The 23,151-nt window shown below is 42.4% G+C and overlaps 1 protein-coding gene and 1 long non-coding RNA gene across 24 annotated transcripts in view; one reads left to right on the forward strand and one right to left on the reverse strand.

Annotated features, from left to right (window-relative positions):
• COPB2-DT (COPB2 divergent transcript) overlaps positions 1 to 23,151 on the forward strand; it is a 193,517-nt gene that overhangs the window by 168,263 nt on the left and 2,103 nt on the right. Inside the window, exon 4 of the long non-coding RNA NR_121609.1 lies at positions 19,727 to 19,785. This is a non-coding gene — a long non-coding RNA (COPB2 divergent transcript). The remainder of the gene's footprint in view (positions 1 to 19,726; positions 19,786 to 23,151) is intronic.
• Positions 2,115 to 23,151, reverse strand: part of NMNAT3 (nicotinamide nucleotide adenylyltransferase 3) — a 117,871-nt gene continuing 96,834 nt past the window's right edge. For 11 of the 23 annotated variants that reach the window (NM_001401604.1, NM_001401603.1, NM_001401602.1 and 8 more), the window contains 3 exons: positions 20,807 to 20,990; positions 15,533 to 15,615; positions 2,126 to 3,327 (listed from right to left, as the gene is read on the reverse strand). In NM_001401604.1, coding sequence (NP_001388533.1) covers positions 2,945 to 3,327; positions 15,533 to 15,615; positions 20,807 to 20,988 — 648 coding nt within the window. In that variant the 5' untranslated portion in view covers positions 20,989 to 20,990 and the 3' untranslated portion in view covers positions 2,126 to 2,944. 23 annotated transcript variants of the gene reach the window in all.

The raw sequence follows: 23,151 nt of genomic DNA on the forward strand, positions 1-23,151 counted from the left end.
AGGCGTGTGCCTAGATGCATTATTACAGATTGTTTATTAGTCACACATGTATATCTATAATGCCAATTTTTGATCCAGGAAAATAACTTCATGACTGAAACTGAACACAATCTGTGCATGAAGATCCTTGCAGAAAGGGAGGGCAGAAATACTGTTAGCCTAGAAAGTGTGAGGATGGGGATAAGGAAATTCATATTCATGTATTAACCCAATTACCAAATGTACCTTGCAAATCTGGAGCGCTGTTGGTTTAACATGGGATTTCACATCATTCCGTCCCAAGTGACACAGACAGTATTATAAATGAAAAATCCTTTCCTCAGGCTAGGATACAGAGCTCCTCTCATTTGGGCACTACATGCTATCACAGGAGAACCTTTATTTAAGGCTGGAAATTCTATTTACTCAGGAGCCCAAACCACTGTTTTTCTGTTCTTGCAAAATAAACAAAACACCCTGGCAAAGCAGATGCAGAAAAGACCCGAGGGAACGGAAAGGAATGTGGAATCAGGTATGCAGGTCAGTGTTAACACAATAAGTCAGGAGCACAGCAGTGATACATATTTCTCTTCTGATGCTAAAAAAAGGAGGCTACATGAATCAATGAGATAAAGTGAGAGTACAGAAATTAAGACATATAATGTTTTATTTATATATGTATTTAATGAAGTAGGTTTTGTTGTTTTATTTTAGAAAGAGACAACATAAAGGCTCAGAAATGGATGTTTTGCCTGGTAGGGGCTGCATGATGCACACATGGATCAGGGAGATGATGACATCACCTCCAGACTGGTTGGACTTGGTGCCCTGAGCCTATGGAAAGCCTGGACAGGGGCATGGGGGCTTCAGACACCTGCTGTCAGGTGCATGATGCAATAAGGTACCCCTTCTCCAGGAAGTGATGATGAATCCAGCTCAGCATGCTGCACATTTTGGCCTCTTCTTCCTCAAGGCCTTTGCATGTGATGTTCCCTCTTCCTGAAAGCCAGCTGCCTCCACCCATCCCCAGATCTTGTGAACTCACCCTTCAGGTCTCAAATACATTGTCACTTCCCTTCTGTCTACACTGTCATCAGGGCAAATGGCAAATCCATTTTGTAGAGTCAAAACCTTGTATAATTTTGAAGGCCCTTTTCCAGAAATAAGAATAAAAATTATTGATTTGAAATTAGAGATCCATATAATTAGGGCCCTTTCTGGGACCCTGGAAACAAAGATTCTCTGCCCCTGGGGAGCTTCCAGTCTGGCTAGACATGCACTGGATCCAAAGAAGGCTGGGTAGGCTGAAGTCAGAGGCACTCAGAGTCTTAGAAAACCAGAACTAGAAGATAATTTAGAGGTGTCTGATTAAACCTCCCATTTTAGAGGCAGGGAAATGGAGGCTCACAGTGGGGGAAGGGAGTTAGTCAAAGTCACACAGCTTGCTGTGGCAGCTTTTGGACAAGGCTGTCTGATTCCTATCCCCCTGGATTCTCAGGGTCCTTAGGGACCTCTTGGAGTGCAGAGTTCATTTAGGGTGAGGAATGGCTGGCAGCTTCAGCGGTTGCAGGGATCAAAATCTGCTCCCCACCCTGACCTTGCTGGATCCAGAAAATCCTGATTTCCTACTTCACTTCATGACACATATGCAAACACTGAGATGTTTTGCGGGGGGGGAGAAAATAGATTCTTCCTAACGGGCCCTTTGTTTTTCTGCATGACTAAACCTGTAGCAAGGATGAACCAGAGTAAAACCATGGAGACGTAAATTCTGAATGCATTCAGTCATGTGGTCAGCAAGTATAATGAGTAAACCCAAACATAATTAGGCCAATCAAAACCTTTCCCTAATTTGGTAACGGAATGACAAATCCTACATGCACATGAGGCCCCTGTTCTAATATTTCAGAGACCTACCTGAAAAGAGCTATCGGCCCAGTGGTTTCTTTTAGAAGGCCGTTTGTGTGGCACCAAAAAGCAATTGCTTCCTCCATTCCTACTACCTGGAAACACAAACTTTTAAATTCATGCCAGTTCAATTGGAACAGTAGCAAATTTCATGAAGCAGCTAAAAAGAAGAGCAACAGCTGGTACATCAGGCATTAATAATATAACAAAGGAAGAAAAAAGAGAAATTTTTCATTAGTACTTTTTGATGTCAATTTATTATTTATCCCTTTGCCAGTATTCAAACAGACAGGCAGTCATAAAACATTAAAAAAGATCCTTTAAAACGGTCAGGCATCTGTTTTACCTCAGTTCCTTTTTAGAAACCTGGAAATCAGGAGCCCCGGCTTTTATGCTATAGCAAGTTTGACACTTGCTGTATCAAAAATATTGCTTGAGGATCACTACGTAGAAAGAGTTTTGTTTAAATTTTATGAAAAGCTGGTTAGGCAGGCAGACAATGGTTTCTAAGGCAAGATCCAGTGTAAATCAGCAATGTGCTGTTTCCAACTGTTTGACTCCTCAGTTCATATTCTGAAACCAGGGCGTTGACAAAACCCACTGTTCAGTAATTAGCATCCTGTCAAATCTTTCCAATCAAGACTAGCATGCTGCACCTGGTCCTAGTTAAAAAACACATTGTGGGCAATTCTGATCTGACCCTCAGGGGCCGCTGCCATGCTCAGAACTGCATTCAGCGTGCATGCCATAATTACCATCCACACAAAATAAGTAGACCTCCTTGTCCAGCAGCTCTGAGAGATTCTGCCTAATCCTAATGACCTGCCACACCATTTTAACTTCTTTGATAAATGTCTATCCTTGTGATTTAGACCTTTCCTCTCCTGTAAAGAAGGTATCTCTTCCTGGGACAGAAGACTCCTCAGAAGTAGAATCACTGTAGAAATAAAGCAAATGAAAAATGGAGAAGCAAAAACCAAAGTAAAACAGAAACCTTAACAGCCCTCTCCCCAGCAGGAGCTTGTTGGAGGAGGTGTGGGTGCTGAGTCCCCCCTCCCTAGCTTGTCTTGCCCTCAGTGCTCTGGGTGCTTTTGCCTTTCCAGGTACTGCCCTTGGTGTAGAGGCCATGGTCCTTGATGTACGTGATGACAGCATCGGGAATCAGGTACTTTACGCTCTGCCCTTGGCCCAAGGCTCGCCTGATGTATGTGGCACTGATCTCATTCTGCACAGGCTCCTTGGCCAGGTGAATGTTGTGCTGGTGCATCCGTAGGATGGGAGATTCTGCGATGTAACCTTTTGGGTCGTGACCTACTCGGCCCACGCACACCAAGCCAAACTTCTCCACTATTTCCTGGATGTGCGCATCCTTCCAGAGGTTGGGGGTCTGGAAGGTCTTCAAGACGTCTGCCCCACAGAGAAGCTTCAGCTCAGGCACAGCTGCAAAAACAAGGATGGACCCAGTAAAGTTAGAGAGAGGTCACTGCCAGGAAAGACAACATCATTGGAAAGTCTCACAAAATGCTTTTCTTGGATGTATCGAGAACTCAGTGTCTCCATGTTCATGACTTGAAAAGAAAAAGCATGTAAATGAATCTGCAGCCATTTCAGGGAATACAGTTGTAAGTAATGATTTAATCAATACACCTTTTGTTTAATATTGGAAAAGTGCCAAGGAATACGATTTTTTTTCTTTTCAGTGTTCTAACAGAAGTCTGTCTGTGGTTGCTTTGGACCAAGGCAGAGTGCTCTAAAGGTGGCTGTGCTGTACCCAGTACTGTGTCTTCTGATAGAAGGTAAGGTTCTGAAAGCTCTGAGACCAACAAGCCATGGGCCTTGGACAAGTCACTGCCTTATTTGAAATCCATTTCAGCCCTTGTGTTACTAGGAACTAGTACCTGGCACTTTTATATAACAATCTCACTATAAAGATTAATTATAAAGGCTCTTTGGATAAACAAAAGGTCTCTAAGACTCCAGCTGGTGGCCTTTTCATTGCAGTTTCCAATAAAACAAAGCTCTAGAACAATGCTTAATGTGGATAATCCTTTGGAATGTGTTCTAACAGAATGCTAATTGTGATAATGAAATAATACATAACATTTATTGGGAGATTACTGTGGGCACTACTACTAAGCTCTTTATGTGTATAATACCATATGCACCCCAGAACAATTTATGAGGTGAGTATTGTGCCCATTTTATGGAGGGGGCAACTGAGGCAGAGAGAGATAAGTGACTTGCCTGAGGTCACTCAGTTAGGCAGATAAGTCAGGTGTCAAACCCAGGCAGCCATCCTCCAGGTGTGGCATTTGTAACTGCTGGGTTCTGCTGCTGCCTGCTGGTGGAAATCTGTACCTGCATTATACTGGAGAAGCCCTTCCTAGAGTTCCAGACTGATTTTCCTGGCACTATCCGTGTCCCTCTTGGTGAGCTAATCAGCAAAGGAAATCCAAGTCTATGCTAGAAACAAGCTGCAGGGTCTCTGATTCTTCCAGAAGCTGATCCCAGCTTCAGTAAATGGCAAAGACTGGGGTCCCAGAGTACTGGCCCCTGTCAGTCACCACAAAGTCTGAGTAAAGAGAGGCTCCAGGGCTACCATACTGGAGAAAAACTTGTGTAAATGGTCAGTTTAGGATCCTCTAAGGTGGAACCTTTAAAGGAATCCAAATGTGGACCAGAGAGATGAGTTCACACAAAAGCACTGGAGCAACTGTGGAATGGAAAGTGAGAGACTGGAGGTGTCATGGAGAAGTCTGAGTCCTGGCCTCAACTGGGCACAGGCTGCTGTGCGGCCAGAGCCAAGACCTTTCTCTGGGTATCAGTTTCCCCATCCATGAGATGATGAGCTCTAGACTCATTTAAAGCAACATATGCAATCACAGAAACACACTTTTCAAATGCTCTAGCGGCATAATACTGGTCTAGTAAACGATATTCAAACATTCCTTCATTCATGCATGTATGAACTCTTAGTGGTTACAAACTAAGACTCTAGAGCCAGACACCTTACACCCAAATTCTGGTTCTGACGTTCAATACCTCATGTGATCTCAACTTTAAAATGAGGATATTACCCTTCATTTATTCATTCATTCACTTATCCATTTACTCATTTATCTACCACTCTATTCATAGAAACACCCACTCAACATTTATGAATTGTCTCCCAGTGTCTGGCCTTTTTAAACCAATAAAACAGCATTTAACAATTATTCAGTAACTCACACTTTTCACTAATTTGGGCTGGTCCCATTGCTCACAACACATATGTATATTTGAACGGTTCTGCATCTGTGAAGTTTTACTCCAATTTCTTATCTATCCAACCAGTGTAGTATAAAGGAGAACAGTGTTTGGTCTTTCAAACAATTAGGTAGTTTTATGTGGTCTTCCTATGGGGGAGGTACTATGATGTGCATTTCATTCCAGGATTTGCTGGGACCTGGGACACACCCCCTCTCTTCCTACAGGTCAGAGAACAGAGAAGATACCACCTCCTTTTTCCAATAGATTTTTTTGTGGGGACAATTTCTGCATGTCAGTTTCAACATTGGGTACCGTTTGATTCATTAACAATGACAGCAAGGAATACTATTCACTTTGAGCCTTGCCTAGAAGGAACAAGGGCCCACACCTCCCCTGCCCCCCAAATCAAAGGCATGTCTGTGAGGCTGGTGGTGCCTGTTATTTCATGACGACAATACCATGTGATAGATCACTTCTCGGGCAACATGGGCCTCAGACTTCTAATTCCTGGCAGTCCTGTCTTCAGGGCTCACAAACGCATTCACACATCTCTTCCAAATCCATTTACAACACTGTTACAAAATTTTTAGACCGAGTGACTCTATCCAAGTCCTAAGTATGTAACTCCAGGGTGTAGTATAAAGAAATCAATACGATTTCTCCTAACAGTGATACAGATACATAAACAAATGGGATGTCCATAGGCATTCTGGGGGCAGTGTGCTCTACCTTTGAGTAGCTAAGGGCTTTGAAAGGTAGATAAAACTGAAATTTACATAGACTGTGAGGGAAGTGCCACTAGGATCTTTGAAAGTTTGGTTGTCCTAAGTCTGTGAGATCAAAGAACACCAATCTTGAGGTCAGTCAGCTCTGGGTTCAACTTTAAATCTGCTGGTACCCTCAGGAAAATTACTTAGCCTATGGGCCTGTTTCTTCAGCCATAAAATGGGGATAGTAAAGCTTTCTTTGGAAGTTATGGGAATTGAGTGATGGAGAGAATGCAATGTAAATTTCCTGTCTGGCGCAGCATGTGAACACTGCCACCAACAGTGATGTCTGTCATGGTACCTCACAGACACACTCAGAAATGTGGGACTTCTGGGTCTAAACAGGACATGAGAGATGAAGCATCTGACAGGCAGCACCTAAATTTACCATACAAGGCCACCTTGGAACATTCAGTATAAAACGGAAACAGATAAAGGGCCTGCTCTGTTGGGAGAGGGAATCCTCTGAATGTGGCTGAGCTGTGCTTGGTTCCATCAGCCATGGGTGGGCGCCACCTTCACAAAAGACAGACAGAGTCAGCTGTTAAAGAACTGAAGGCATCATCCATCCCAAAGTGTCACACCCAAGCAGCCCAGAATGTAGCAATCCATATGACTCTGGGTGAGCCCAAGGAGGCCTGCAAATCATAGAAGTGATGGGCAAAGCAAGGCTCTGGCAGCCAGAAATTGCCGAGCTCATCACGTAATTTGCAACCCCAGAGTATAACAGCACACCAATAAAATACGCAGCACACAAAATGGTCCTTTAGAAATATGTCACTAGTAACACACATGCCATCTCATCAAAAGCCAAACTTATGCTGAGAAAAATTCCACCTTCCTGTTTTTAATTGCTCTACATTTTACCCCAATTACAAACATCAAACTGTGTTCATTATGGAATGTATGGAAAATATGTAAGTATTTAAAGCAGAAATAACAACAACAATATTAATTCTGCTTTCTACAAAACACCATCAGTTTTTAGTGTATTTCCTTAGTCTTTTCTATTTAGACATGCTAACAGATGGGAAGTATAGTCATATTTTTATATACTTAAGATTATATGCAGTATTGTATCCTGATTTTTTTCCACTTCCTTCATAAGTGTTTCTCCACATCATCAAAACCTTTTATGTAGTTTCTTTATGCTATGTATACAGTATAATTTAGGTATACTTTCCTTTATATTTAAACATTGATATTGCTTTTACTTCCTGCCATTGTAAAAACTGTTGTGATAAACATCTTTCTGCATAAATCTTTGTCCCAATCTCTAATTATTTCCTTAGCCAGATTCCTAGAATGGGAATTTATCAAGCAAAGAGTGCAAAGATTTTTAAAGTCCCTGATATATTTTGGTAAACTGAAAAACATAGTTTTCTTTTTTTAAAAATTTTATTATTATTGTACTTTAAGTTTTAGGGTACATGTGCACAACGTGCAGGTTTGTTACATACGTATACATATGCCATGTTGGTGTGCTGCACCCATTAACTCGTCATTTAGCATTAGGTATATCTCCTAATGCTATCCCTCCCCCCTTCCCCCACCCCACAACAGTCCCTACTGTGTGATGTTCCCCTTCCTGTGTCCATGTGTTCTCATTGTTCAATTCCCACCTACGAGTGAGAACATGCGGTGTTTGGTTTTTTGTCCTTGTGATAGTTTGCTGAGAATGATGGTTTCCAGTTTCATCCATGTCCCTACAAAGGACATGAACTCATCATTTTCTATGGCTGCATAGAATTCCATGGTGTATATGTGCCACATTTTCTTAATCCAGTCTATCGTTGTTGGACATTTGGGTTGGTTCCAAGTCTTCGCTATTGTGAATAGTGCTGCAATAAACATACGTGTGCATGTGTCTTTATAGCAGCATGATTTATAATCCTTTGGGTATATACCCAGTAATGGGATGGCTGGGTCAAATGGTATTTCTAGTTCTAGATCCCTGAGGAATCGCCACACTGAATTCCACAATGGTTGAACTAGTTTACAGTCCCACCAAAGTGTAAAATTCTCCCTATTTCTCCACCTCCTCTCCAGCACCTGTTGTTTCCTGACTTTTTAATGATCGCCATTCTAACTGGTGTGAGATGGTATCTCATTGTGGTTTTGATTTGCATTTCTCTGATGGCCAGTGATGATGAGCATTTTTTCATGTGTTTTTTGGCTGCATAAATGTCTTCTTTTGAGAAGTGTCTGTTCATATCCTTTGCCCACTTTCTGATGGAGTTGTTTGTTTTTTTCTTGTAAATTTGTTTGAGTTCATTGTAGATTCTGGATATTAGCCCTTTGTCAGATGAGTAGGTTGCAAAAATTTTCTCCCATTCTGTAAGTTACCTGTTCACTCTGATGGTAGTTTCTTTTGCTGTGCAGAAGCTCTTTAGTTTAATTAGATCCCATTTGTCAATTTTGGCTTTCATTGCCATTGCTTTTGGTGTTTTAGACATGAAGTCCTTGCCCATGCCTATGTCCTGAATGGTAATGCCTAGGTTTTCTTCTAGGGTTTTTATGGTTTTAGGTCTAACATTTAAGTCTTTAATCCATCTTGAATTAATTTTTATATAAGGTGTAAGGAAGGGATCCAGTTTCAGCTTTCTACATATGGCTAGCCAGTTTTCCCAGCACCATTTATTAAATAGGGAATCCTTTCCCCATTGCTTGTTTTTCTCAGGTTTGTCAAAGATCAGATAGTTGTAGATAGGTGGCATTATTTCTGAGGGCTCTGTTCTGTTCCATTGGTCTATATCTCTGTTTTGGTACCAGTACCATGCTGTTTTGGTTACTGTAGCCTTGTAGTATAGTTTGAAGTCAGGTAGCATGATGCCTCCAGATTTGTTCTTTTGGCTTAGGATTGACTTGGCAATGCGGGCTCTTTTTTGGTTCCATATGAACTTTAAAGTAGTTTTTTCCAATTCTGTGAAGAAAGTCATTGGTAGGTTGATGGAGATGGCATTGAATCTATAAATTACCTTGGGCAGTATGGCCATTTTCATGATATTGATTCTTCCTACCCATGAGCATGGAATGTTCTTCCATTTGTTTGTATCCTCTTTTATTTCATTGAGCAGTGGTTTGTAGTTCTCCTTGAAGAGGTCCTTCACATCCCTTGTAAGTTGGATTCCTAGGTATTTTATTCTCTTTGAAGCAATTGTGAATGGGAGTTCACTCACGATTTGGCTGTTTGTCTGTTATTGGTGTATAAGAATGCTTGTGATTTTTGTACATTGATTTTGTATCCTGAGACTTTGCTGAAGTTGCTTATCAGCTTGAGGAGATTTTGGGCTGAGACGATGGGGTTTTCTAGATATACAATCATGTCATCTGCAAACAGGGACAATTTGACTTCCTCTTTTCCTAACTGAATACCCTTTATTTCCTTCTCCTGCCTGATTGCCCTGACCAGAACTTCCAACACTATGTTGAATAGGAGTGGTGAGAGAGGGCATCCCTGTCTTGTGCCCGTTTTCAAAGGGAATGCTTCCAGTTTTTGCCCATTCAGTATGATATTGGCTGTGGGTTTGTCATAGATAGCTCTTATTATTTTGAGATACATCCCATCAATACCTAATTTATTGAGAGTTTTTAGCATGAAGTGTTGTTGAATTTTGTCAAAGGCCTTTTCTGCATCTATTGAGATTTGGTTCTGTTTATATGCTGGATTACATTTATTGATTTGCATATGTTGAACCAGCCTTGCATCCCAGGGATGAAGCCCACTTGATCATGGTGGATATGCTTTTTGATGTGCTGCTGGATTCGGTTTGCCAGTATTTTATTGAGGATTTTTGCATCGATGTTCATCAAGGATATTGGTCTAAAATTCTCTTTTTTTGTTGTGTCTCTGCCAGGCTTTGGTATCAGGATGATGCTGGCCTCATAAAATGAGTTAGGGAGGATTCCCTCTTTTTCTATTGATTGCAATAGTTTCAGAAGGAATGGTACCAGCTCCTCTTTGTACCTCTGATAGAATTTGGCTGTGAATCCATCTGGTCCTGGACTTTTTTTGGTTGGTAAGCTATTGATTATTGCCTCAATTTCAGAGCCTATTATTGGTCTATTCAGAGATTCAACTTCTTCCTGGTTTAGTCTTGGGAGGGTGTATGTGTCCAGGAATTTATCCATTTCTTCTGGATTTTCTAGTTTATTTGCATAGAGGTGTTTATAGTATTCTCTGATGGTAGTTTGTATTTCTGTGGGATTGGTGGTGATATCCCCTTTATCATTTTTTATTGCGTCTATTTGATTCTTCTCTCTTTTCTTCTTTATTAGTCTTGCTAGTGGTCTATCAATTTTGTTGATCCTTTCAAAAAACCAGCTCCTGGATTCATTACTTTTTTGAAGGGTGTTTTTGTGTCTCTATTTCCTTCAGTTCTGCTCTGATTTTAGTTATTTCTTGCCTTCTGCTAGCTTTTGAATGTGTTTGCTCTTGCTTTTCTAGTTCTTTTAATTGTGATGTTAGGGTGTCAATTTTGGATCTTTCCTGCTTTGTCTTGTGGCCTTTAGTGCTATAAATTTCCCTCTACACACTGCTTTGAATGTGTCCCAGAGATTCTGGTATGTTGTGTCTTTGTTCTCATTGGTTTCAAAGAACATCTTTATTTTTGCCTTCATTTCATTATTTACCCAGTAGTCATTCAGGAGCAGGTTGTTCCGTTTCCATGTAGCTGAGCGGTTTTGAGTGAGTTTCTTAATCCTGAGTTCTAGTTTGATTGCACTGTGGTCTGAGGGACAGTTTGTTATAATTTCTGTTCTTTTACATTTGCTGAGGAGTGCTTTACTTCCAACTATGTGGTCAATTTTGGAGTAGGTGTGGTGTGGTGCTGAAAAGAATGTATATTCTGTTGATTTCAGGTGGAGAGTTCTGTAGATGTCTATTAAGTCTGCTTGGTGCAGAGCTCAGTTCAATTCCTGGGTATCCTTGTTAACTTTCTGTCTTGTTGATCTGTCTAATGTTGACAGTGGAGTGTTAAAGTCTCCCATTATTATTGTGTGGGAGTCTAAGTCTCTTTGTAGGTCACTAAGGACTTGCTTTATGAATGTGGGTGCTCCTGTATTGGGTGCATATATATTTAGGATAGTTAGCTCTTCCTGTTGAATTGATCCCTTTACCATGATGTAATGGCCTTCTTTGTCTCTTTTGATCTTTGTTGGTTTAAAGTCTGTTTTATCAGAGACTAGGATTGCAACCCCTGCCTTTTTTTGTTTTCCATTTGCTTGGTAGATCTTCCTCCATCCCTTTATTTTGAGCCTATGTGTGTCTCTGCCCGTGAGATGGGTTTCCTGAATACAGCACACTGATGGGTCTTGACTCTTTATCCAATTTACCAGTCTGTGTCTTTTAATTGGAGCATTTAGCCAATTTACATTTAAAGTTAATATTGTTATGTGTGAATTTGATCCTGTCATTATGATGTTAGCTGGTTATTTTGCTCGTTAGTTGATGCAGTTTCTTCCTAGCCTTGATGATCTTTACAATTTGGCATGATTTTGCAGTGGCTGGTACCAGTTGTTCCTTTCCATGTTTAGTGCTTCCTTCAGGAGCTCTTTTAGGGCAGGCCTGGTGGTGACAAAATCTCTCAGCATTTGCTTGTCTGTAAAGGGTTTTATTTCTCCTTCACTTATGAAGCTTAGTTTGGCTGGATATGAAATTCTGGGTTGAAAATTCTTTTCTTTAAGAATGTTGAATATTGGTCTCCACTCTCTTCTGGCTTGTAGAGTTTCTGCCGAGAGGTCCGCTGTTAGTCTGATGGGCTTCCCTTTGAGGGTAACCCGACCTTTCTCTCTGGCTGCCCTTAACATTTTTTCCTTCATTTTAACTTTGGTGAATCTGACAATTATGTGTCTTGGAGTTGCTCTTCTCGAGAAGTATCTTTGTGGTATTCTCTGTATTTCCTGAATTTGAATGTTGGCCTGCCTTGCTAGACTGGGGAAGTTCTCCTGGATAATATCCTGCAGAGTGTTTTCCAAGTTGGTTCCATTCTCCCCGTCACTTTCAGGCACACCAATCAGACGTAGATTTGGTCTTTTCATATAGTCCCATATTTCTTGGAGGCTTTGTTCGTTTCTTTTTACTCTTTTTCCTCTAAACTTCTCTTATCATTTCATTTCATTCATTTCATCTTCCATCACTGATACCCTTTCTTCCAGTTGATCGCATCGGCTCCTGAGGCTTCTACATTCGTCAGGTAGCTCTCGTGCCTTGGTTTTCAGCTCCATCAGGTCCTTTAAGGACTTCTGTGCATTGGTTATTCTAGTTATCCATTCGTCTAAATTTTTTTCAAAGATTTTAACTTCTTTGCCATTGGTTCAGATTTCCTCCTGTAGCTCGGAGTAGTTTGATCGTCTGAAGCCTTCTTCTCTCAACTCGTCAAAGTCATTCTCTGTCCAACTTTGTTCCATTGCTGGTGAGGAGCTGCGTTCCTTTGGAGGAGGAGAGGCACTCTGATTTTTAGAGTTTCCAGTTTTTCTGCTCTGTTTTTTTCCCATCTTTGTGGTTTTATCTACCTTTGGTCTTTGATGATGGTGACGTATAGATGGGTTTTTGGTGTGGATGTCCTTTCTGTTTGTTAGTTTTCCTTCTAACAGACAGGACCCTCAGCTGCATGTCTGCTGGAGTTTGCTAGAGGTCCCCTCCAGACCCCGTTTGCCTGGGTATCAGCAGTGGTGGCTGCAGAACAGCAGATATTGGTGAACCGCAGATGCTGCTGCCTGATCGTTCCTCTGGAAGTTTTGTCTCAGAGGAGTACTCGGCCGTGTGAGGTGTCAGTCCGCCCCACTGGGGGATGCCTCCCAGTTAGGCTACTCGGGGGTCAGGGACCTACTTGAGGAGGCAGTCTGCCCGTTCTCAGATCTCAAGCTGCGTGCTGGGAGAACCACTACTCTCTTCAAAGCGTCAGAGAGGGACATTTTAAGTCTGCAGAGGTTACTGCTGTCTTTTTGTTTGTCTGTGTCCTGCCCCCAGAGGTGGAGCCTTCAGAGGCAGGCAGGCCTCCTTGAGCTGTGGTGGGCTCCACCCAGTTGGAGCTTCCTGGACGCTTTGTTTACCTAATGAAACAACTAACTCGGCAATGGCGGGCACCCCTCCCCCAGCCTCGCTGCCACCTTGCAGTTTGATCTCGGACTGCTGTGCTAGCAATGAGCAAGACTCTGTGGGTGTAGGACCCTCCGAGCCATGTGTGGGATATAATCTCCTGGTGTGCCGTTTTTTAAGCCCATTGGAAAAGCGCAGTATTAGGGTGGGAGTGACCCGATTTTCCAGGTGCCGTCTGTCACTGCTTTCTTTGACTAGGAAAGGGAATTCCCTGACCCCTTGTGCTTCCCGGGTGAGGCAATGCCTCGCCCTGCTTCGGCTCGTGCACGGTACGCTGCTTCCACTGTCCTGCACCTACTCTCTGACACTCCCCAGTGAGATGAACCTGGTACCTCAGTTGGAAATGCAGAAATCACCCGTCTTCTGTATCGCTCTTGCTGGGAGCTGTAGACTGGAGCTGTTCCTATTCGGCCATCTTCAAAACATAGTTTTCATTTCATGTAAACTTCCTTTTTTTTTAAATAGTTACTTTAGAATAGAACAAGTGAGTGGGATTTAGGGTCTGAACAGAGAGAAAGAGGCCCTCAACAATATAGGGCCAAGCAGATTAAGTTGGTAGCCCCTAGAAAAATGATTCTGGAAAGAACCTGGAGTGGGCTTTGGCAGAGGGAGAGAGTTCATATTAATGAGAGCAGCTGGGGCTGGTTCCACAGGGAAGGTGAATTCTGAACTGGGCCTCACAGACAGATAGGTTTTCAATAGGGGAACCAAGAATTAAGAGGAAGGAGGGGAGGCCAGGCAAAAAGCTGAGACAGGGATTCTGGAAGCATATGCAGAGAGGTGAAGTGTGCGAGGATGGTGGCCTCAGTGTGTTGTCCCTCCTGAGTCACTCTGGCTGCCCCTGCCTCTCACTGGAGGCTCCAGTCTGCCCTAGTGGCATGGAGTGCCTCACACTTATGCTATCTCCTGCCCTTGTGCTTTCCTTAGTCTGCCCCTTGGCCCAGAAATGTCTCCAACCTCAATAATCCAGTCATCCTGCAAGTCTCAGTGCAGGTGCCCCCTCCTCCATGCAGCCTTCCTAATTCATGCCTGGACTCACCTCCATTCATACCCTGTCTCCAGCTTGAGGTGGGGGCTGGGGCTGGCTGTCTCTGTTCTCAGCCTGAGCCCAGAGTCTGTTCCAGTGAGGTGCTCAAAAAGTGTCTGTAGAATCCTTTTAAGAATACCTGCTGAGCCAGAGATGATGCAGAAAGAAGGGAGAGGCTGATAATGAATACTGGGCACTGTGCTTATCGGGGATGGGTGGGAAGGAGCCCATGCAGGTAACGGAGAGGACAGGCAGACAGAAAGACCAGAGGAATACAATAAACATTATATAAGATGATTATATAGGAGGTATTGTAACTCCTTCTTAGATTCTTACTCTCATGCACAGCCCCCCAGACTGGCTGTAAAGCAAATCCTCAGAGTGCTTATTAAATATCCAGATTCCTGGGCTCTACTCCCACTCAGAAGGGAAGACACCTGGGAATTAGTGCTTTTAACAAGCCGCACAGGGGATACTGCTGTGAGGGATCCTCTGGCCAGTATTTGGGGACTGTTGCATGGCACCTTTAGGGCCTGGTAGCATTTCCAAGTCTTTTTAGAAGAGTGTTTCCCAATCTTGCTCTAGGAAGCACTAGTTCTGAAAAATACTAACAGATATTAAACAAAGAGTTCCATACTTAAAAAAATGGTAAGAATGACTGCAAGGTATTTCTCTTTCTTGTAGAATCACAATGCACATGGACATAGTAAAGGCTCTAAAAAGTCCTTCAGTAGAGAAACCACATTAGGTGTGCTAAACCCCAGCATTCCTAAACTCTTCTATTCTGGAAGCAGTGTTCCACCAACCAAAGTCGGGAGACCCTGCCGTAGGAAATTCTGCAGATGACCTGCTGGAATCTGCACGCCCACCGCTGCATGGTGCTTCTGCTTATTTGCATGAGAGCATTATGCATTTTGCCCTTGACACCAGGGCAGCTCATACTGTGAAATCACAGCCAACAAGGTTTTCTCGAACACCAGGAAATTACAACACTTCCTGGCTTACACATCTAGGCTTACAAATTAAGAGGATAATCCAAACCAACTTTAAATTCCCTTAAAAATAGGTTTCCTCTTTTGAGTGAACCATTGAGTAATTCTGCTATAAATAAAGTCTTAGTCTCTTTGTTCAAGTTTTATAATGGCATATTTTACATTCAAAAAGGCTAAGGCTTTTAAAAGAAACCCAGCAGCACTCATCAGTTTATCCCTGTGTGACCCTGACTATAATCCATGTCATTAGAACAAGTCACAAGGGTAGGTAAACTTCTTTGGGGCAAAAAATCCCAAATTAGCAGAGCAATTTACAGGGGGTGGTGGCAGATTGTCTAATCTGAACTTCAACCTCAGAAGTGTCATCCCAACCAGGCAGGCCTTAAATTCCTTATCTGTGCCCAGAGGGTTGGACTCAAGTCCTCTGCAGCTGTGACCACCCCTACCCCCTTCAGTTCTCACAGAATCCCTGACATCTCATTCTCCTACAGACAAGAGGATCAGCACCCACCTGCAGGGGTCGAGAAGAGTGCCTTGCCATGGTCTGGGCCTTCCATCTGGGGTGGAGATCTGAGCAGTTTGCTGTGATGATGCCTGTGTTGTAAACATATGGGCTCAGGGTATGTCTGTCCTCCAGCCCTCAAAGCCACCCAGGGATTTTCAGATTTTGTCTCAGCCTGCTTTTATCTACTTTAGTTCACTCATTCCACAAATATCTGTTGAGGGCCTACTCTGTGGCAGGCATTGCCAGGAGCTGGGACAGAAAGCCATGTGGGTCTTCATGGAGAGTCCTGTCCAAGACAGTCCACTACTTTCCATGTGACATGGGTGAAGGCAGGGAAATTAGTACATTTCTATTCTTTTAACATTTTCTTCAATATTTCTCAAAAAAAAAAGGAGGCACTGCTGAGTAGGGGTTAAGGACATGGGCTATTAGAATCAGACAGACTTGAATTCAAGACACATTTTCATTTGAGAAGCAGGGATAACAACACCTACTTTTAGGCTCTTGTGAAGGTGAATGAGCCATGCACATGAAGCACTGGCACAGTGCATGGCCCACAGCTAGCTCCCAGAAAAGCTGCCTGCTCTCATTAGAAACTAGTACTTTAGAAGGCAATAGGGTGATGGCCAAGAGCCAGGGCTTGCAGCCAGATGGCCTGGGTTGAATCTCAGCTCCTCCACCAGCTGGCTGTGTGACCCTGGGTGGGTGATTTCAAGTCTCTATGTGGATGGTGCTGCATCTGCCAGTGAGGAATTATGACAGTGCCCACCTCTGATGGGTGGTTATGAAGATTAAAGGGGTTAATACACACAAAGTGCACTGGGCATTTCAAATATGATTAGACTTTCACAAATTTGGCATGCCTGCCTTCTTTAGCAATCTATCTTCTGCAAATCATGAGATACTTATATATGCTTTTGTCAAACACAGGCAACCATTATACACCCCTTCTTGTATCAATTTGATCTTCCAACTTCCACTTCCTGTATTATGCATTTACTAGAACTGTATTTAGGGGGCAGTAGTGCCTGGTGGGAAAAGCATATGCTTTTCAGCCAGAGTGGGTGGGTTTAAGTTCAGGCTTTTTTGCTGAATGACCCTGACACCCTGTAGCATTGATACTCTCAGAGCCACGTGGACCTCATCTGTAAATTGGTCATGAAAGTTAATGCTGGGCTTATCTACACTGAGTATCAAAAGATCATGAATGAAAAATTGCTTCCACCTTGCCAAATGCTGGGGAAGTGGCCTGCTGCTGATTATAATTGGGAGGCAGCTCAGTGTTAAGTTCTAGAATTAGACTGGGTTGGAATTCTGGCTCTAACTGGTAGCTCTGGAGTCTTGGTGTCTCTAGTTTCCTCATCTAGAGAATGAGGGATAACGGCAGAACCTGCCCCAGAGAGCTGGTGTGAGGATTAATTGAAACGCTTAGCACCAGCCCATATACAGAAAGAGCCCAATAAGTGTTAGCTGTTATTATCATTACTCTTAGTCTATCTTCCCACCAGATTGTGAAAAGGGACCCCACGGAATTCATCTTTATATTCCTAGCACCCATGAAAATGCTCCTTAAGTCTGCTGAATTCAGGAATGTTGGAAGGAGTGGATGAATGAATACATTTAACCTGGTTCAAAGCCCTTCTAGATCATCTCAGAGACTCAGCAGAGTCTTCTTAGAGCCTGGCTGGACTCAGTGTTTTCATTATCGTTTTACTGCTTTGATTTTGGTAAACTTTATTTCTGAGGATTCACCCTTGGATTGGCATGGGCTCTCACATCAGACTGAAGTAGATTGAGTCTCACCTCCACTTTCTAACTGTAGGACTTGAAGTATTTTACAACCCTTTCTGAATCTCCATGTCCTTATATATAAAATAGGGCTAAACCCACCTACCTCTTGGAGTTGCTGAGCTTACTAGATATACATGAAAGAGCTTGGCACACATAGAGGGTGATTAGTAAAAGGTGGTGGTGATTCTCATTTTACTTACCTTGAAGGTCCTAGTTCAGGTTGACCCTACTTTGAATATTAGCTGGATCTCTGAACTTTGTTGTGGAAATAATTACTTCCAATACAACATGCATTTGCCAGGGACTTCCACTGCGCCTCTATGGGGCATGACCATTAACTGCTTCTTGCTGCCTGCCTGAGTGGTACCTTGGGCCTGTGGATTGACCCTGGGGGCATGTTCTTGGTGTCCTCAGCAGTCCCACTGGTCTTCAGGAAAGATTGGAGGGCAACTGTGGGAGGTGTAAAGCCAGCCACATCATGTTCCCAGCCTGCAGATCCCTGTTTTGAAGATGGCCATAAGCATGGCTTCAGAGCTCCACAGATGGGAGCTCCACGTCCTATTTGTGTGTGACCGTGATTAACGTAGCCTCTCTGAGCCTCAGTTTCTTTATCTGTAAAATGAGGACAACACAAGATCATGTCTGCAAAGAACAAACTATCTTATAGGGAAAGAAGGAATCCTCAGTAAGCTCTACAGTGAATTTACATCATAGAGATGTTTGTTACTATGTCACTATGATGCAGATTCACTACGGACTTTATCAAGAGGACACTAAATGGAGCAAAAGATGGGGTGGATTTCTACCATGCTTCTAAAACCACCTGACTTTACAATTATAACTGGATTTTCAGTCTTAAAAAACTTTGATTTTGATAATTTTCGGAAAGTGTTAGTAATCAAACACAAATGCAGTTGGTACATTTTGGAGATGAAACTTACTCCAAATAATAATTTTAAAAATCTTAATCAGCATTTGATAAAACTGTGTTGACTGTAACAGTGATTCTCAATTTTGGTTGCACAAAATACATATGGGAACCTTTATGAAAATAGCAATGTTTAGAGCCCACCCCTGACAAATCAAAATCTCTGGGGTGGGTGGGAGGAGGTGAGCATTTAAAAAAGCTTATTAAGTGATTTCTGCAGCCAGAGTTGAGACCACTGGTTTGGATGCATCTTGGTACTGATCATAAGCTTAATTCATATACTTGGCAGCTGAAGCTGTGAGCTAGCCATATATTAGAATCACCAGGTAGCTTTTAAAAATCCTGATGCCCCAACCCAGACCAATGACATGGGTACTTTTAAAAGCTCCCTGGGTGATTCCCGTGTGCAAACTAACACTGAGCAACACAAGAATAAAGGAGTTATTTAAAAAAAATTAAAAAGAGGCCTGGTGTGGTGACTCATGCCTGTAATCCCAGCACTTTGGGAGGCTGAGGTAGGTGGATCGCCTGAGGTCGGAGTTGGAGACCAGCCTGGCCAACATGGTGAACCCCCGTCTCTACTAAAAATACAAAAAATTAGCTGGGCATGGTGGTGTGTGCCTGTAATCCCAGCTACTTGGGAGGCTGAGGCAGGAGAATTGCTTGAACCCAGGAGGTGGAGGTTGCAGTGAGCCGAGATCATGCCACTGCACTCCAGCCTGGGCAACAGAGCTTAATTAATAAACTTGGCAGCTGAAGTGGTGGGCTAGCCATGTATTGGAATCACCATGGAGCTTTTTTTGAGACCCTATCTCAAAAAAAAAAAATTAAAAAGAAAATGAATGCGTTCAGTACAATCTTAGCTCACTCCTGTATTTTGCAGCAGAAGCACAAGTAATCGTAAATAGTACTATGGTCAACTCCTATTTATCCATGAATGGCTTATCTGTTTTGAGGACAAATTATGGGCCAGCATTAGGGATTCAGGGAAGGTAGCTAACATTATTAAGTACCTACCATAAACCAGGTGTTTTGCCTACATCATCTCATTTAATTCACACGGAATCCTAGTGAAGTGGGTGATGTCATTTCCATTTTATTAGGTGAGAAATTGAGACTCAGGGAGGCTAAATCACTTATATCAAGTAATTCAGCTAGTAAATTTTGCTCTAAAACCTGTGTCCTAGGCTACAGTGCTTCTCACTGGGTGGAGGAGCAAGCGTCTGTTTCTGCCTACATATTAAAGCTAAATTACTTGTTGGATGATCTATTCTCTTGCTTCTATTCCCCCTCTCTTAGCCTAGATAAATGAGAAATGACTGCATGACTCATTCTAAAAGGATGATCTAGGTGTCAATTTATTCCTTATATAATTTTCAATATAAGGGTCTTTGTTTATACTAATGGGTCATTAAAAAATAAAGAAGAGCATGTGTCATAACAATTATTTTATAATGGCTTTCCTTTTAATTTGGCAACAGGTTCTGAAGCAACACTGTAACTGCTGAATGCTTCTGGCTGCTTCTTTCCACAGTAAAAGGTAAGTAATAAGAACCAGGATATAAAAACTAAATGATTACCTCTACTAAAAAGGTAAATCTTTTTCTCCCAAGTGATTTTGAAGATAAGTTAAAAATGAAAACTAAAACACATTATGAACAGGCCTGTCAGTCATTCCACCTTGTCCCTTTGCCTCCCATTTCCTGCCAATCCTAGTGGTTCTAAATAGACAAAAGACACAGCAATTTGCAATCCCTTCCAGCAGAGCTGGTTGTCATTAGTGATGAGGCAGGCCATACTCACAATCCCAACAGCCAGGAGAGGTGGGACTTCCTGCTTCTCTGGCAATTCCCCCTTAAAGTCTGCAGACACAAGCTAGTGACCCACTGCCCTAACATGCAGGGCTGGCTTGGGGTTTTAAACAGTTTTATTACTTATGCTGAATACAAATAGAAATTCCAGAAGAAAAAATAATCCAGAGTAACTGTTTCTAGATTTATAGTCTTTTTTTTCTATTTCACATAAAAGTCTGGGTTTACAGAACCCAGGAATTGTACAATTAAAAAAGACAGCTTATTCTATAGATGTAGTTTTCAACTTAGACAATGATAAAAATAACAAAAGGTCCCACCTACTGAATATTATTATGTAGTTCTGGGTCAGGAAAGTTATTTACATATAAAAAATCCTCATTCGGTTTTGTTGTCTCCATTTTGCAAGTGAGAAATATGTCTCAGAGGCTTCAGATCACTTGCTCAAAGTCACACAGCTACTAAGTGGTGGCACTAGACCCCAGTGCTACCGTCATCTGAAATAAGGTTGGGTGTTTCCACAAAGTGCATTTGAAAGTACAGTGTTTTGTAATTTTTCTGCTCAGGGACCTCTCTGAGAATGTGAATCTGTTGATCTCTCTCCTGCTAAGTAGAAACTGCTTCTTGGATATTTGCTGAGAAGGTCTGGCAGAAACCCAGCCCCACAATCTGCCCTACCTTTTACCCTGTAAGCTCTGCAGACATCTCCCGTGGCCCCTGGTCATCACACAGGAGAGTGACTACCATTACCTCAGCACCTTCACTGTCTCCATCCACTGTGCCTGCTCACTCTCCCAAGGGTCCACCCGGATCCAGTCGGATGTCTGCAGGGCCAGCCGGGCCATGGCCACTCGGTGATGAGAAGCTGCGAGGTCTTTCTTCCCATAGGTGTCGTTGACAGGAGAGATGATACCCTGGATGACCTGGTACATTCCTAGGTAAGAGAGAGCAGTGGTGTTGCACATACAGACAGATGCTCACCACCTGGCAGCCTGAATTCAGGCAGGTGCTAAATGTCTCCAGTGCCTCATCCTGAGTGGTAGTAGACTCTGGCATTCTCTCATGGGGGAGAAAGGGTAGCTCCCTTAGGCAAGGGTAAAGGCACTACCTTAGTGAACATGTGCTTCTCCTCTAGAGCCTTCTACAACCCGGGTAGCACTGAGAGAAAGGCTTCTCTGCTGAGACAAAGGCTGTGAGGGTGGCGCTCAGGCAAGGGTCCCATACAGCAGTGAGGACAGTTAGGATCAGGATATAGTTGAGGAACAGCATGACTTCCCCTTCTATAGGAATTAACAGGGGCACTATTTTTGCCCTCTATGTGAGGATGAAAATTATATATAGTTTCTTAGCCCAAATGGGGATTTTGAGGATGAAGGACAAAGGGATGGGATTTTAGCGTGAACCAGGGTTGGTGGGTATTGGCTGTAGATGGACTAGTCGCACAGGCCACCACTGACCTGGGAGGAATGTGCTGCTGATGGAGTGGGAAAGCGTACTTTGAAATAGCCATGGACTGTGCTCACTAACCATGATAACTGCCCTGTAGATCGTCTAAACCACATGGGATTCATCTGGGGAGAGAGAAATTTTTGTGTGTTAAGCTTCTAAAACTGGAGGATTTATTATTGCAGCTAGCCTAGTCTATCTTGACAAATATGTTATTTTGAGACATTCCCTGTTATTCCTAGTTTAAGAGTGCCTGCCATAAATGAACATTGAATTTTATTAAATGATTTTTCTGCAACTCTTGATTGTGTGATTTTTTTTCTCCTTTACTTAGTTAATATGGTAAATTGCATTGATTAATTTTCTAATCCTAAACTAACACTGCATTCCTGAGATAAGCCCTATTTGGCCAAGATATATTACCTTTCTTGTGTACTGGTGGGTTCACTTTGCTAATTTGTTTTTTAGGTAGTAAGACAGGTCTATAATTTTCCTTTCTCTCACTGTCCTAATCAGATTTTGGTATCAAGGTTGTGCTAGCCTCATAAAAAGCGTTGGAGAGTTCTCTCTTTCTATGCTGTAAGAGATCTTGTGTGTTAGGACTGAAATAACTTTCTTTTTGAGACAGAGTCTTGCTCTGTCACCCAGGCTGGAGTGCAGTGGTGCAATCTCAGCCTCCCGAGTAGCTGAGACTACAGGCATGCACCACCATGCCCGACCAATTTTTAAATTTTTAGTAGAGACAGGGTTTTGCCATGTTGGCTAGGCTGGTCTCCAACCCCTGACCTCAAGTGATCCACCCATCTCGGCCTCCCAAAGTGCTGGGATTACAGCCATGAGCCACCGTGCCCAGCCTGAAATAACATTTTTTTCTGAGTGTTTTGTAGAACTCACCAGTGAAGTTTTGTGAGGCTAGAGTTTAATTTGTGTTGTCACTGACAGGAGAGATGATACCCTGGATGACCTGGTACATTCCTACATAAGAGAGAGCAGTGGTGTTGCACATACAGACAGACGCTCGCCACCTGGCAGCCCGAATTCAGGCAGGTGCTAAATATCTCCAGTGCCTCATCCTGAGTGGGAGTAGACTCAGTAGTCAAATTTTTGACTACTGATTTAATTTCCTTAATGATTATAATTCAGAATTTCACTTCTTCATTATGATTTTGGCAACTTACATTTTCCAGGATTTTATTCATCATATCTAAAATTTGAAATTTACTGGCATAAAGTTAGTTGTGATATTCTTTTTTTTTTGGCAATCACCGCTTTAATCAAGCAATGAAAGTTATCACAAATAATAGAACAATTTGCATTGTGTGCATCCTAATTTGATACAACAATAAAGTATGAATTCACCTATGAATTGGTTAACCATACAATTTATCAGCTAAAAGGTTCATTTCTGAGAGTGAAATTACATGTTATTAATAATTATACCCAAACAATAGATATAAACTAGACATAGACAACTCTGGATTTATCCTTACCTGTAAGTATCCTAGCCAACATATTTAGACTGGAACTAATCACAATGAAACATTCAGACAATTGACCTGTCCTCTTCACAAAAGTCTAAGTCATGAAAAACAAAAACAGGACTACTCTAGATTAAAAGAGACTAAAGATACAGAATAACCAAATTGTGA

Source organism: Homo sapiens, chromosome 3 (assembly GCF_000001405.40).
Source record: "Homo sapiens chromosome 3, GRCh38.p14 Primary Assembly".
In the NCBI taxonomy this organism is placed as follows: Eukaryota; Metazoa; Chordata; class Mammalia; order Primates; family Hominidae; genus Homo; species Homo sapiens.